Source organism: Homo sapiens, chromosome 6 (genome assembly GCF_000001405.40).
Source record: "Homo sapiens chromosome 6, GRCh38.p14 Primary Assembly".
In the NCBI taxonomy this organism is placed as follows: Eukaryota; Metazoa; Chordata; class Mammalia; order Primates; family Hominidae; genus Homo; species Homo sapiens.
The window spans coordinates 44,407,131-44,422,957 of NC_000006.12; the positions used below are offsets into that span (position 1 = coordinate 44,407,131).

The 15,827-nt window shown below is 39.6% G+C and overlaps 1 protein-coding gene across 2 annotated transcripts in view, besides 2 other annotated features; it reads left to right on the forward strand.

The window, feature by feature from the left end:
- Positions 1–15,827, forward strand: part of CDC5L (cell division cycle 5 like) — a 62,720-nt gene that overhangs the window by 19,425 nt on the left and 27,468 nt on the right. For both annotated transcript variants that reach the window (NM_001253.4, XM_047419605.1), the window contains 3 exons: positions 1,314–1,502; positions 12,319–12,467; positions 15,517–15,679. In NM_001253.4, coding sequence (NP_001244.1) covers positions 1,314–1,502; positions 12,319–12,467; positions 15,517–15,679 — 501 coding nt within the window. The remainder of the gene's footprint in view (positions 1–1,313; positions 1,503–12,318; positions 12,468–15,516; positions 15,680–15,827) is intronic.
- Positions 8,332–8,461: an enhancer, noted in NCBI's record as "active region_24639". NCBI's record gives its function as "activates an Ori minimal core promoter by ATAC-STARR-seq in GM12878 lymphoblastoid cells {active_cell/tissue: GM12878}" and the evidence as "EXISTENCE:reporter gene assay evidence [ECO:0000049][PMID:35858748]".
- Positions 8,492–8,601: an enhancer, noted in NCBI's record as "active region_24640". NCBI's record gives its function as "activates an Ori minimal core promoter by ATAC-STARR-seq in GM12878 lymphoblastoid cells {active_cell/tissue: GM12878}" and the evidence as "EXISTENCE:reporter gene assay evidence [ECO:0000049][PMID:35858748]".

Consider the following 15,827-nt stretch of genomic DNA (forward strand, 5'->3'; position numbering starts at 1 on the left):
TGGCTTTGTGGACTTTAAGCTGCCTTCTCCCAGGGAATGTTTTGTTGTGTTATGCTTTTCTTTTTTGAGACAACAGTTGTGAAAGTCAATGTGGGAGTTGTGGAGAAAAGCGATACAAACATTCTTTCATTCAGCTTATTACAGGCTGTATTCTTTTGACTTACTATAGTTGGTCAGAAACATGGGACCTTAGGGTAACCTTTTTTTTTTTTTTTGAGACGGAGTCTTGCTCTGTCGCCAGGCTGGAGTACCGTGGTGCCATCTAGGCTCACTGCAACCTCCGCCTTCCGCGTTCAAGCGATTCTCCTGCCTCAGCCTTCCAAATAGCTGGAACTGTAGGCGTGCGCCACCATGCCCCGCTAATTTTTGTATATTTACTAGAGACAGGGTTTCACCATGTTGGCCAGGATGGTCTTGATTTCTTGACTTCGTGAGCTACCATCTACCCACCTCGGCCTCCCAAAGTGCTGGGATTATAGGCATGAGCCACCGTGCCCAGCTAACCCTTTTTTTTGTCTGTTTTGAGTAGTACAGCTTTGTAGAATTGGACAGATTTAATGGTGCAGAAGAAAGGACTTAGGAGACCAGAAGAACTCTTTTCCCACATGAGCACATTGGCTGCATCAACACAAGATTCTTGGGCATAAACGAGTTTTGTCATATCCTGACATTCCTAGTGGGGATATTTATTAAACTGAAATTTTGTCTTTAATTTTTTTCTTAGTACACCTTAGGATATTTATTTTGGTAAAATTACTAACACAACACCTTTAGATTTTCTTAGGGATCTTGTGGCTCGCTGGACCCTTTCTGTGTGATATTTTAATTGGTTTTCAGTCTTCCTCCTCCAATTTTGTATAAATACTGCTATTTTACATTCTTGGTACGTTAATATGTTGATTTGAAAGAATTTCAGTATAGAGATACAGCCTTTGTAGCTTGATTCTATATCATATGTGAATTTTCCCCTCACATTCTGTAGGGAAGGCTTTCTAAAGCTATATTATGGAAACTTTCAAAGCCACAAAAAAGATGAGTACTACTGTGAACTTGTGATATTAATCACACAGCTTCAGCAATTCATTTTTCTGGAATATGGAAATTTAAAGCTGTGTCAGCTCTCAGTTAAAATGTTGGTTTTTTTTTTTTTTTCAATAGAGACAGTTTTGCTGTGTTGCCCAGGTAGGTCCCGAACTCCTGGGCTCAAACAGTTTGCCCTCCTCGGCCTCCCAGAGTGTTGGGATTACAAGTGTGAGCCACTGTGCCCGGCCTCAGTTAAAATGTTGCTTACTATGATAATTGTGTCCTTTTAGATTTCAGATGCAGAACTCCAGGAAGTTGTAAAAGTAGGCCAAGCGAGTGAAATTGCACGTCAAACTGCCGAGGAATCTGGCATAACAAATTCTGCTTCCAGTACACTTTTGTCTGAGTACAATGTCACCAACAACAGCGTTGCTCTTAGAACACCACGAACACCAGCTTCCCAGGACAGAATTCTGCAGGTAACGTGTCACGTAGTAGAATGAGGCTTTTACTTTGTTTATTGTCCTTAGAAGTATCATGCAGGAGAACTAAGCGGTTTGGTTGTGTTTCTTTTAGTGTAAATGGTTTGAAACTGAGTCCTGAATGCATAGATCTTGCAATATTTCTGTAGTAGAGAAGCTAAATAGATTCAGCAATCAGGTAGTTTTATTTTCACATTTATTAAAATTCGTAATTTTTTGAAGCCAGCCCTTCTACCTTCATTAGTCTTTTGTACCTGTCAGTAAAGCATAGTTTTGTAAAATTTCACATTGCCTGCCAATCCTAGAAAGAAAGAAATACTTCCTTGCATTTCTGTACTTAGCTTCACATAGTGTGCCCGCAGTTCTACTTTCTTCCCTCTCTCTAACACGTGGGGTAGACACAGCTTTGTGTGTTCCCAGGGTGTCTGTATACCAGAGAATATCCAAACCTACAAAACATAGTTGGGTCTTTTGGTACACTTACATCTCATTTCCTCATCTCTAATAGTCAGGAATATAATTTTAAGGCTTTGATTCGCGGCAAACAGTTGTGTAAGGCTTAGCAAGAAAAACACTTGTGCCCCTCATCCGTAGAGGTGCCTGTTACAACTCTTTGTTTTACTTACCGCTAAAAGATCTTTGTTACTCATTGACCATTTTCAGTTTTAGGCATTATCTGTTGTTTTTCTACGTAGAATTTGACATTTGGCTTTCACACCCTCTGTGTCCGTCATGCATACATTTTCTATTCCCCTATTGTCTGTTATAATTTGGTTAGCTTTATATTCTTGGTTTATCTTATGACTCTGTAAATCCTATTCATTGCTAAACCATGAATTACCTTATAATTTGTGTAAGTTATACAAATATGTAATATTCGTACATATAGTTTGTAATCCATAGCATACCATTGTACTTTGTGGTATAGTATTTTGTTTTTCTTGGAGCTAATACTTGTTTTATTCAGTTGCTAAGTTTTTTGACTAAGCAGTAATTCAACTCTAGACTACGCTGGCTGTGTCTGTTTTCTCTAACCTGTGCTGACTTTAGATAGTCTCATCTTTTTGAAGAAATCTTTCTTAGAACTTCCGAATGTTCTTGCCTGGACTCATTATTCTTCAGGGCTTGTTTATAGCTTGTTCTTTTGATTTCCCTTCACTGTCACCCTAGAGAGTCCCTTGGATCCCCTCTTTCCAGGCTCCCATGTCTTTGGCTTTCTTGGTTTACTCCCTTGTTCAATGAAGAATATCATTCAGTAGCTTTCAGAGAAAGGGTTCATAGGAGGTAGAATTTTTTTTTTTTTAGTTTTTTTTCATTGATAAGGAAAAATTGTATCTATTTATGGTGTACAGTATGATGTTTTGATATATGTATACCTTATGGAATGGCTAAGTCAAGCTGGTTAACATGGGCATTACTTCACATATTTATCATTTTTTTGTGGTAAGAACACTTAAAATCTACCCTTAGCAATGTTCAAATGTACAGTGTACTGTTATTCACTATAATCACTGTAATGTATAATATCTTGAACTTATTTCTCCTGTCTTACTGAAATTTTGTGTCCTTTGACAGATATCTCCCTGGTTCCCTCACCCCTCAGCCTCTAGTAACCACCATTTTACTCTTTTTCTGTGAGTTTGACTTTTTTAGATCCCACAAATAAGTAAAATCATGGGGAATTTGTCTTTCTGTATCTGGCTTACTTGATGTAATGTCCTTCAGTTTCATCCATGTTGTCACAAATGACAGGATTTCTTTTTTAAGGCTGAATAGTATTTTATTGTGTTTATGTATCACATATTTTTAAATTCATTTCTCCACTGGTGGACCCTTAGGTTGTTTCCAGAGGTAGAATTTTTCAAGATCTTGCATATCTGTTAATTACTAATCTACCCTCTTGGTTGATAGTATAACTGGGTATAGAATCCCAGATTGCAGTGGTTTTTGTTCACAGTGTTGAAGGTAGCACTGCAAGGTCTTCTGGCTTCCACTGTTGCTCTTGAGACCTCCTATACTGTTGAGTTTGTTAAAAGTAAACCTCGTTTTTTCTTTTCTTGAAGCTTACATTATCTTACATGATTTATGATGCATGTTTCTTGGTGAAGGTCTTTTTCAACCACTGTGGATCTTTTCATTCCAGAGACTCATGGCCTTCAATTTTGTAAAATTATTTTGAATTAAAATTGTTTTTCTCCCTTTCATTGATCTCTTTATGAACCTCCAGGTTTTCTATTAATTCCTCTGCAGTTTTCTATCTTACTGATTTTGATTTATTTGTAGGAGGTTTTCTCAATTTTATCTTTATTCAGTTTTTAATTTACTATCATATATGTAATGTTTAAGAGCTTTTTAAAATTTTGTTCAGTATTTTTTTTTTTTACCATCTCTTATTTCATGAGTATCTTATTTCTCTGAGGCTGTTAATGATGGTTTTGTTTTTATAAGTTTTCTTTTCCTTGCATAGTTTCTAAGTTTTTTGTTTTGTTTCCTTTCTGTCTTTCCTTATGGGTATTTCCTCAAATGTCCGGTGCTCTTTGCCTGTGTCTAGAAGTGGGTGGGGGGCAATCACAAGCTGATTGGAAGCTCCTTAGGTGTGGGTAGGGCTCCTTGACTCCTGGCTTCCCTGGAGGCTGATCTGGCTGGGATGTTTCACTGGGAGAGTTCTTGATGTCAGTGTTAGTTCTTTTGGGTCAGTGTTAGTTGTTTTTGCTTAGGTTAGTCATATTCCTCAGAGAAGTAATTTCCAGTCTCCTATCTACAGGGTATAAAGTTGGCCAGTCTCTGGGAACCTAGTTGGGGAAAAAGGCTGGATGTCTCCAATCTAAAATTAAAAACTTCTGCTTCATTTCTCTATTTTCATAGTGATAATTTTGCTCTTAACTCTTCCTGGTATTCTCTGGTTTAGAAATCTTTTTTGTACTCTCTTCAGAGAGTAAAGCCCCTCTGTTTTTTGTAAATCCTGTGAGAGACAGAGAGAGAGAGAGAGAGAGAGAGAGAGAGTGTGTGTGTGTGTGTGACTAAAAATCCTATAGACTTTGTTTTTTATTATCACTCTTTTTCTTCTCATTTTATATTGTTTCGTGAAAGTTTACAAAATTATGGCACACTAGTTATTAGCCAGCTCAAGGCTTTGAGGAGGTCTGAACATAGGGTTTCTCAAGTAAATAAGTAAAATATCTAGCATATCAGAAGCTTTAAAAACAATAATGTGATCTTGCATTTATTTCCTTGGATTCTGAACACAAGTAAGGAATGTGTTTCAGGGTGTTCAAGGCCAGATAAAGTGTCAGATAAGCCTGTTCGGACAGACTGGGAAAGAGAAAACCTAACCACTCACAGAGGAAATATGGAGGGACCTAAACAGTCCAGAATACAGACAGGAATCCACTTAAACTGTATAGACCTGTTAATAACAGGGGGCAATAATGGCTATAGGTATTGTAAGAATCCCACTAGCCATCTTCTCCTGGTGGCCCTGAAGTGATGGAGATGCTTCTGATAGAGGCTCTGTCAGTGTTACATGGCTTAGTATTGCTCGTGCATGTGCAGCACTTATCCAGCCCTTTCATTAAAATACAGAGCATGCTTTCCTGGTTCTGTCACTTTATCCATGCCTCAGCCTTTCAGATGTCTCCACTTCTGTGACAGATAGGAATAACCTGTCCCCCACTTTTTTTTTTTTTCAGACAGGGTCTCACTCCCATTACCCAGGCTGGAGTGCAGTGGCATGATCACGGCCACTGTGCCCAGACAGTTTTTTTACTTTTAGTAGAGACAGGGTTTCGCCATATTGCCCCAGGCTGGTCTCGAATTCCTGGGTTCAAGTGATCTGCCCGCCTTGGCCTCTCAGAGTGCTGGGGATTACAGGCATGAACCACTGCACCTGACCCCCCACTTTTTTCAGTGGTGCTGTTTGAAGAAGTTTGCAAGTGTGAATATTCACACTTGAAATTAAAAAAAATAGTTTTTTTTTTAATTTTGGGAAAAAATTACATTATAGGACAATATAAGGGACATTTAATGGAACTCCTTTCATGGTTTTTAAACAGTTTTATTGAGATACCATTCTTACAGAATTCACCCATTTTTACTGTATTTACCGAGTTGTATAACCATCACCACAGTCAATTTTAGAATAATTTCTTTTTTTTTTTTTTTTTTTGAGACGGAGTCTCGCTCTGTCGCCCAGGCTGGAGTGCAGTGGCGGGATCTCGGCTCACTGCAAGCTCCGCCTCCCGGGTTCACGCCATTCTCCTGCCTCAGCCTCCCAAGTAGCTGGGACTACAGGCGCCCGCCACTACGCCCGGCTAATTTTTTGTATTTTTAGTAGAGACGGGGTTTCACCGTTTTAGCTGGGATGGTCTCGATCTCCTGACCTCGTGATCCGCCCGCCTCGGCCTCCCAAAGTGCTGGGATTACAGGCGTGAGCCACCGCGCCCGGCCCAATTTTAGAATAATTTCATCATCCAGAAAGAAAACCCATACCCATTAGCAGTTATTCCCCATTCCCCTCAAACCTGCCAAGTTTTTAGGCACCCATTAATCTACTTTGTGTCTCTATAGAGTTCCCTATTCTGCACATATATGTAAATGAAATCATATAATATATGATGTTTTGTGACTGGCTTTTTTCACTTTGCATTATATCGTCAAGGTTCATCCATGTTGTAGCTTTTATCAGTACTTTATTCCTTTTTGTCATTGCATAATATTCCATTGTATGAATATACCATGTTTTGTTTATCCACTTATCAGCTGATAGACACTTGAGTTGTTTCTACCTTTTGACTGTTAGGAATAATGCTGCTTTGAACAGATGTTTGTGTGGACATGTTTTTTTCCTTACTCTTGCATAGATACCTAGGAATGGAATTACTGGGTCCTATGGTGACTATGTTTAACTTTATGAGGAACTGCCAGACTGTTTTCCAAAGTCGCTGCACCATTTTATTTGTTTATTTTTGAGACATGGTCTTGCTCTGTTGCCCAGGCTGGAGTGCAGTGGTGCAGTCATGGCTCACCGAAGCCTTGACCTCTTGGGCTCAAGTGATCCTCCCAACTTGGCCTCCCGAGTAGCTGGTACTACAGGCATGCACTACCAGGCCCAATTAATTTTCTAATTTTTTGTAGAGATGGGGGTCTCACTGTGTCGCCCAGGCTGGTCTTGAACTCCTGACCTCAAGTGATCCTTCTGCCTCAGCCTCCCAAAACGCTGGGATTACAGGCATCAGCCACCGTGCCTAGCACATTGTACGTTTTTATTAGGAATGTGGAAGGGTTCTAATTCTTTACATCCTCACCAACACTTGTTTTCTGTCTTTTTGATTATAGCCATCTTGTAATCAAACAGATCCTAGTTGTGAAGTGATATCTTGTGTTTTTGATTTGCATTTCCCTAATAGCTAATGACATTTCATGTGCTTATTGGTTATTTTTATATCTTTGTTGTTGTTGTTATTGAGACAGGGTCTTGCTCTGTCACACAGGCTGGAGTGCAGTGGCACCATTATGGCTCACTGCAGACTCAACTTCTCTGGTTCAAGCAGCCCTCCCACCACAGCCTCTCAAGTTGCTGGGACTACAGGTGTGCACCACTGTGCCTGGCTAATTTTTTATTTTTGTAGAGATGGGATCTCACTATGTTGTCCAGGCTAGTCTTGAAGACCTGGGTTCAAGCGATCCTCCCACCTTGGCCTCCCAAAGTGTTGGGATTACAGGCGTGAGCCACTGTGCCTGGCCTGGCCTGTGTGTGTGTGTGTGTGTGTGTGTGTGTGTGTGTGTGTGTGTGTGTGTATTTTTTTTTAGAAATAGCTATTCATCTTCTTTACTCATTTTTAAATTGGGTTATCTTTTTTTTTTTTAATTTAAAAATTTTTTTTGTAGAGACAGGGTCTTGCTGGTGTTACGTAGGCTGGTTTTGAACTCCTGGCTTCAAGATTCTCCCACCCGAGTCTCCCAAAGTGCTAGAATTATATACGTGAACCATTGCACCTGACTGGGTTTTTTATAATTGTAAGAGTTCTTTGTATATTCTGGATATAAGTTCCTTATCTGATATATAACTTGCAGATGTTTCCTCTCATTTTGTAGGTTGTGTTTTCACTTTCTTGATGTTCTCATTTGCAGTACAGAAGGCTTATATTTTCATGAAGTATAGTTTAGCTATCTTTTTCTTTTTTGCTTATGCATTTAATCTTATCCAAGAAATTCTTTCCAACCCTGGGTCATGAAGAGTTATTCCCATGTTTTTTCCTCAGATTTTATAGTTTTAGTGCTTACATTTAGGTCTGTGATCCACTTTGAGTTAGTTTTTTATGTACTGTTAGGTATGGATCTACCTTCATTCTTGGGCATGTGGATATCCAGTTTTCCTAACACAATTTGTTGTAAAGACTGTTCTTTTCCCGTTGTATGTTCTTAGCAGCCCTTAAAAAAATCAATTGACCATTAATGTAAGGGTTTATTTCTGGACTTTCAATTCTGTCTCATTGATCTATTATCTATCCTGTGCCAGTACCACACTGTCTTAATTCCTATAGCCTTGTAGTATCCTTTTGTGTTTTTAATAGGCTTTTTAACTGATTGTTAAAGAATATTGAAGTAATGAGTGAATGTTAACTGGGAGCGTAGTAGTTATTTTGAAAAAGCACAAAACAGGTTTAGAACCTGAGCCATATGCAGTAAGTTTGGGGCTTGTAACTTTGGATTTCTCTTCTAAAAGATGTGGGGGAAGTTATATATTTGTTGGAATTGGGTTTAGCTGTAACAGAAAACCTCTAACAGTGGCCTAAATAGAATAGAGGTTTATTTCTGTTTCATGTTCTAAGTGTTGAGAGATAAATCAAACTGGGGCTTGTGTGGCACTCCCTGGTGTCAGGGACCTGGGCACCTGCTTTTTTGTCCTCCCCCATGTCAGGTTTCTCTTCTTAGTTTCTCCTTGTGGCAGGTACAGTCGCTGCAGGGCCAGCCGTCATGTTTGCATATAGCCTGCAAGAAGGAGGAAAAAGGGCACACCCTTTCCCTTCTTAAGAACACATCTCTTGCACACATCATTCTGTCTGTCCTGCTGGCCAGAACTTAGGCACACATGTCCTAGCTACTGGGGCATGTGATATTTGTTCTGGGTAGCCAGGTGGTGGTTAAGAATTGAGGCTTCTGTTACTATGGAGGAAGAGAATGGGTGCTTGGTGACAAGAAGTCTCTGCCACAGTAAAATAAATGTCTACTAATGAAAATGATTATGATTGGTTGAAGCCCTTTGGAACCTCTAAGATGAACTGACAGAAGTTGAGATTTAGTCTAGTCTGTGACATATTTTTTTGTAAAATTTTGATAAATTTTGTTTTCACTTTGTGAGCTTTTATTGGTTCAGTGTCTGTTCTATGTGTGATAAAGGCGGTACCTCTGGCTGCTGTTGTGTGTAGCTAGGGGTAAGAGGAGTTTTGCTTCTGTCTCTTGGCCTCCTCTGATGTAGTCTAGGGTATATCAGTCAAGATTTAATTAAGGAAACAGAACCACTAGGAAAATCATGGAATAAGGAATTTGTTAGAGGAATTAGTCCCATATACAGTTATGGGAAAAGCAGGGCATTAAAGGTCTGAAAAGGAGTGTTAAAGATTGGAGAAAGGTCACCAGCCCTGGTGTGGAGTGAGTCATAGCTTACAGGGAAATCTGGAGGCCAGGCATGGAAGTCTGGAGGGTTGTTGACTCTTTGTCACTACTGTTTCTGTGAGTTTGAAGCAGAAGTCTGGTCACCAGGGCTGCCTGTAAAGGAGGAGAATTGGATATATGGAGCAGTGGGGTGCAAGGACACACTGAAACTTGCCAGCTCCTCTGCAAGTCTGTCACTACCTCTGACCAATGATGGCCTTCAGAGTGTAGTGGTTGCTACTTCACCTCTGTCACCTCTGCTTCTCCTTCTGCCTCTACCTCTGTTTTACTTTTGATGAACTCTACTCAGTACCAAGATGGAAGAGGATTCTGGGAAACATCCCAGTGTAACCACGTCAACAAAGGATAATTCACCACATAGGAGACAGCTCTCAGATGCACCGGCATTTTACTGGGCCAATCTCATACTGGGCCAAACTCCCCCACTCCTTTAGCCACACCATTTTTGGGAGTGTTGCCTATTTGTAATTTTGGCACATATGATATTTCACGTCACCCACTCTTCCAGGAATATATACTTTTGCCATTTGATTCTTATTTCTCCTCTTTCCTATGCAGAAGATCTAAGCCTACATACGTTTCTTTCTAGTAAATGCTTTATATTTGGAATAGCAAAAAGGACACACACAGGGCCTTTGATAATGTGAAATTCAAGATTTTTTTTCATGAATAAAGATATACAGAATAATGGAATAAGTCTTGCTCTGGTTATTTTCATTTTGCCTCAAAATTTAGTGATTTAGTGCATTTTACTATGCTTATGACTTCTGTGAGTCAGGAATTCAGACAGGGCACAGAAGGAGTGGTTAGTCTGTGCTCCATGATGTCTAGGGCCTTAGTAAGGAGGACTCAGCGGTTCTGTGTGATTTGATGGATAGGGGATAGAGTCATTTGGAGGTGTTGTCTTTCCATGTCTGGTGGTTGATGCTGGCTGTTGGTGGGGTGGGTCCTCAGCTGGGAATGTGGAGTGAATCTGCATGTGGTCTTTCCATGAGGCTTGGGCTTTCTCATAGTGTAGTGGTCTCAGAACAGTTGAACTTCTCACGTGGTATCTCAGGGCTCCACTGTGAGTGCGGTGGGAAGCTGCGTTATTTTTTCTAAACTAACCTGGGAGGTCAAGCATTGTCACTTTTGTTGTGTTCTGTTGGTTTCAGGTGAATCACAAGCCCACCTAGATTTATGGGGAGGGAACATAGACCCTACCTCTTGATGGAAGGAGTATCACAGTTGGATTTTAAGAACATGAAACATGAGAGAGAAGGTTGTGACCATCTTTGGAAAATAAACTTTGCCACAGGCCCTAAGTTGGACATAAAGAGATTTATGGGTACAAAGATAGCACTGAGGACAGGGTTACAGTGAAGGGACTAAAGAGAACATGGTCAGTTCTGCCTAAAGAGATCAGCAAGACTTCTGAAAGGGACCTGACCCCCACAAGTTGTTTTCTTGTGCAGTGGAAAGGTTGCTTGGGAGTATCTTAAGTTCCCAGTAGAAGAAACAGACCTCAGAGATACTAATGAAGACTGGATAGAGAATTCAGTGGTGAAGCCAGACTAAAACCCAGGCATTCAGACATTTGGCCTAAGCTGGGAAATTTGAATTCTTGTAATAGTAATTTCATATGTGAGGCCACAAAAGCACACCTCTACACATAAAACTTTATTTGATGTATAAAACTTCTTTTTAAATTTTATTATTATTATACTTTAAGTTTTAGGGTACATGTGCACAATGTGCAGGTCTGTTACATATGTATACATGTGCCATGTTGCTGTGCTGCACCCATTAACTCCTCATTTAACATTAGGTATATCTCCTAATGCTATCCCTCCCCTCTCCCCCCACCCTCCAACAGTCCCCGGAGTGTGATGTTCCCCTTCCTGTGTCCATGTGTTCTCATTGTTCAGTTCCCACCTATGAGTGAGAACATGCGGTGTTTGGTTTTTTTGTCCTTGTGATAGTTTGCTGAGAATGATGGTTTCCAATTTCATCCATGTCCCTACAAAGGACATGAACTCATCATTTTTTATGGCTGCATAGTATTCCATGGTGTATATGTGCTACATTTTCTTAATCCAGTCTATCATTGTTGGACATTTGGGTTGGTTCCAAGTCTTTGCTATTGTGAATAGTGCCACAGTAAACATACGTGTGCATGTGTCTTTATAGCAGCATGATTTATAATCCTTTGGGTATATAGCCAGTAATGGGATGGCTGGGTCAAATGGTATTTCTAGTTCTAGATCCCTGAGGAATCGCCACACTGACTTCCACAATGGTTGAACTAGTTTACAGTCCCACCAGCAGTGTAAAAGTGTTCCTATTTCTCCACATCCTCTCCAGCACCTGTTTCCTGACTTTTTAATGATTGCCATTCTAACTGGTGTGAGATGGTATCTCCTTGTGGTTTTGATTTGCATTTCTCTGATGGCCAGTGATGATGAGCATTTTTTCATGTGTTTTTTGGCTGCATAAATGTCTTCTTTTGAGAAGTGTCTGTTCATATCCTTCGCCCACTTTTTGATGTGGTTGTTTGTTTTTTTTTTTTTTGTAAATTTGTTTGAGTTCATTGTAGATTCTGGGTATTAGCTCTTTGTCAGATGAGTAGGTTGCGAAAATTTTCTCCCATTTTGTAGGTTGCCTGTTCACTCTGATGGTAGTTTCTTTTGCTGTGCAGAAGCTCTTTAGTTTAATTAGATCCCATTTGTCAGTTTTGTCTTTTGTTGCCATTGCTTTTGGTGTTTTAGACATGAAGTCCTTGCCCATGCCTATGTCCTGAATGGTATTGCCTAGGTTTTCTTCTAGGGTTTTTATGGTTTTAGGTCTAACATTTAAGTCTTTAATCCATCTTGAATTAATTTTTGTATAAGGTGTAAGGAAGGGATCCAGTTTCAGCTTTCTACATATGGCTAGCCAGTTTTCCCATGATGTATAACACTTCTAATGTGATGTGTTAGATTGATAGAAGGAATGGAAACATTGAAATCTGCCATGACTGGTATTCATTTTCTCTGTTAGCTTTCATTGAGAAAATGAGTAAGGATTCTGCCTGCTTCAAGATTGGTATAGTAGGACCAGAAGAGATTCTGCAAGTCTGTCTAAACTTTTAAACTTGCTTCTTTGTCTTCTTGTTAATCAGGAAGCCCAGAACCTCATGGCCCTCACCAATGTGGACACCCCATTGAAAGGTGGACTTAATACCCCATTGCATGAGAGTGACTTCTCAGGTGTAACTCCACAGCGACAAGTTGTACAGACTCCAAACACAGTTCTCTCTACTCCATTCAGGTATTGTAAATGAACACGTTTTTATTTTAGAAAAACTTGAATTCAAGGACTTAGCATATTTGCTTTAGTAATGTTTACGGAGAATGACTACTTATTGTGTTGGATTTTCCTCTTTGATTTCTTCTTCATAGTAATAAATAATAGTGTCCAGGAAATGGTTAAATACTGTGGAGTGCCTCCCCCCCTTTCTTTAAGATGGAGTCTCGCTCTGTTACCCAGGCTGGAGTGCAGTAGCGCGATCTCAGCTTACGGAACCCCTCTGCCTCCCGGGTTCAAGCGATTCTCGTGCCTCAGCCTTCTGAGTAGCTGGGATTACAGACATCCGCCACCATGCCTGTCTAATTGGAGTGTTCTTTTGCAAAGCTTCGGATCCTATCACGTTATTTTTGAATACTTTGTATTTGATTTTAGAGTAGATTGATTCATTTTTAATGATTACTTTGTGAATTTTATTATGTAATCCTTTTATGTATGTATTACTATTGCTTTCCCTCCAGCATTTTATTATGAAAATTTCAGGCATTTAGAAAGGTTGAAAGAATGTGTGGAAGTTATCAGTATTGAAATGGAGTCATTTATGTTACATTTTAATGAAAAAGGAACCCTCATGCGCGTATGCCTATGACAGAAATTATTGCAGGGACCTTCTGAAAACCACACAAATTCCAGATAAGTTGCTTCTGTGAAGACATTGCCCTACCAACAGCCAGTACAGGTTGAGCATCCCAAATCTGAAAATCCAGAATGCTCCAAAATCCAAACTTTTTTTTTTTTTTTTGAGACGGACTTTTGCTTTTCTTGCCCAGGCTGGAGTGCAGTGGCGCGAACTCGGCTCATCACAACCTCCGCCTCCTAGGTTCAAGCAATTCTTCTGCCTTGGCCTCCCGAGTAGCTGGGATTACAGGCATGCGCCGCCATGCCTGGCTAATTTTGTATTTTTAGTAGAGACAGGGTTTCTCAGTGATGGTCAGGCTGGTCTCGAACTCCTGACCTCAGGTAATCCACCCGCCTTGGCCTCCCATAGTGCTGGTATTACAGGTGTGAGCCACTGCGCCTGGCCAAAATCCAAACTTTTTGAGCACCAACATGACACTCAAAGGAAACGCTCATTGAAACGTTTCAGATTTTGAATTTCCTGATTTGGCATGCTCAACCAGTAAGTATAATGCAGTTATCCCCAAATCTGAAAAAATCCCATATCTAAAACTCTTCTGGTCCCACATTTCAGATAAGGGATACTCTTATCTATACCGGCAATGAAAACAAATGCCACCTCCTGTGATAAGTCCCTGTAACCAATGGTCTTTGTTTCAGAACAGTTTGCGTAGACTCCTCCCTTGTATCTTTAAAAACTTCTCCTTGCCCCAGCACCCTCAGTTGTACCTATGGTCTGTCATAGCACACATATCCCACACTGTAATCCCTTGCCGTTCCCGAATAAACTCTTTGTTTTGGAGACCCGGTCTCTCACCCATTTAAGTTGACAAATGGTAAAGTGAACATCCATATACCCACCACTTAGATTCTAAGATCGTTAATATTTTACTATATTTGCTTTATCACATATCCATCCACCAATCCATCATAATTTTTAATGCATTTCGAAGTAACTTGCAGGTAGCAGTTTGTTTGATCCCAAAACACTTCCACATGCGTTAACTAGAATTCAGTATTTCTTTATAACTCTTGCTTAGTTTTAAGCTGCTGTTTTTTAAGAAGAATCTTTAAAATACAAATGTTATGGAAGCATGTAGTAGGAAAATGGAATTGGAACTTACAATGGTTGGAAATATTTGGGGTTTACTTTGAATTTTAAGTGTTAAGATATGTCTTCCTACTGGTTATTTAGTAGAGAAAGCACTTCAGGCTATTACACATATCATGACAGCAGAACCAAGAAGCATTGGCAGCCAGTCTTAAACATTTAACACTTCTTGAGAGTCTTGTAAGAGAGCATAATCCCTCATTTCCTATGTTTAGTCGGCTCTCTGTATCTGAGGATTCCACATCTGTGAATTCAACCAACTGTGGATAAAAAATATTCCAAAAAACTCAAACAGTACAACAATAACAAATAACACAAATAAAAATACAATGTACCAACTATTTATATAGCATTTACATTGTATTAGGTATTATAAGTAACCTAGAGATGATTTAAAGTACATGGGAGGATGTGCATACGTTATATGCAAATACGATGCCGTTTTATATCAGGGAGTTGAGTATCTGCAGGGAGTTGAGTATTGGTCCTGGAACCAATCCCCGGTGGATACTTAGGGACAACTGTATGTCTTGTCTCTCACCTAGATTGTAAAATCCTTGGGGGTGGGAACCATGTCTTATGTGATAACACCTTACCTATCAGGAATAGCTGTCTGGCAGCATCACCGTTCTGCAACACACCAATATACAGGAAATAGGCAACCAGGAAAAAAAAAGACTTTGAATAATTAAAATATAGGTTGCTGCAAAATCTGTGGATCTTATTCCTAGGAGAATCTCTTAGGCCTCACTCAGGAACTTACTCATGTTTAGATGTGATTTCAAAAGTGTGGTGTTTGGTTTCCAAACAAAATGTAAAAGGAGGAACTATTTAATAAAGTGTGTACATTTGTAATAATGACAGTGATAGTGATGTGAGAACCAACAGCTTGATAGGGAGGGAGGAGACAAATATACACAAAACTCAAAGAGTCATCTGGGGTCATTGAGTGTGGTGGCCCACCTCCCTGCCCACTGCATGTTCTTAGTCGCCCTAATGTGCCAAGAAAAGGTTGAAATAATGTTTAGTGGACGTAGTTTAGGAAGGCAAGAAAATATCAAATGTAGTGATTATTGTAAGTCAGTAAAATAAAAATACCATGCTAGCTAGACCAAACATTGATTTTAACCTAGAGATCCTAACAAAACCAGCTGGACAGAATTTTGAAATCTTTATTCTTTTTTTTTTCTATATTTCCTGTGAAATAATTTATGTGAAAAACATTTGAAAGCACAATCCAAATGTAAGTGGCACTTCTGTTAATTGGGATTCCTGTCTTTCTAGGACTCCTTCTAATGGAGCTGAAGGGCTGACTCCCCGGAGTGGAACAACTCCCAAACCAGTTATTAACTCTACTCCGGGTAGAACTCCTCTTCGAGACAAGTTAAACATTAATCCCGAGGATGGAATGGCAGACTATAGTGATCCCTCTTACGTGAAGCAGATGGTAAATGTCAATTCCCTTTTAATACTCTTAAATTTTTTTTTAATATCTCATGGATGCCAAATTAAAATTTCTCCTGTTAGTGCATATCACATATACCTTAAGAATCTATACACCTGTGGATGCCAGAAAAAGAATTATTTGTAAGACT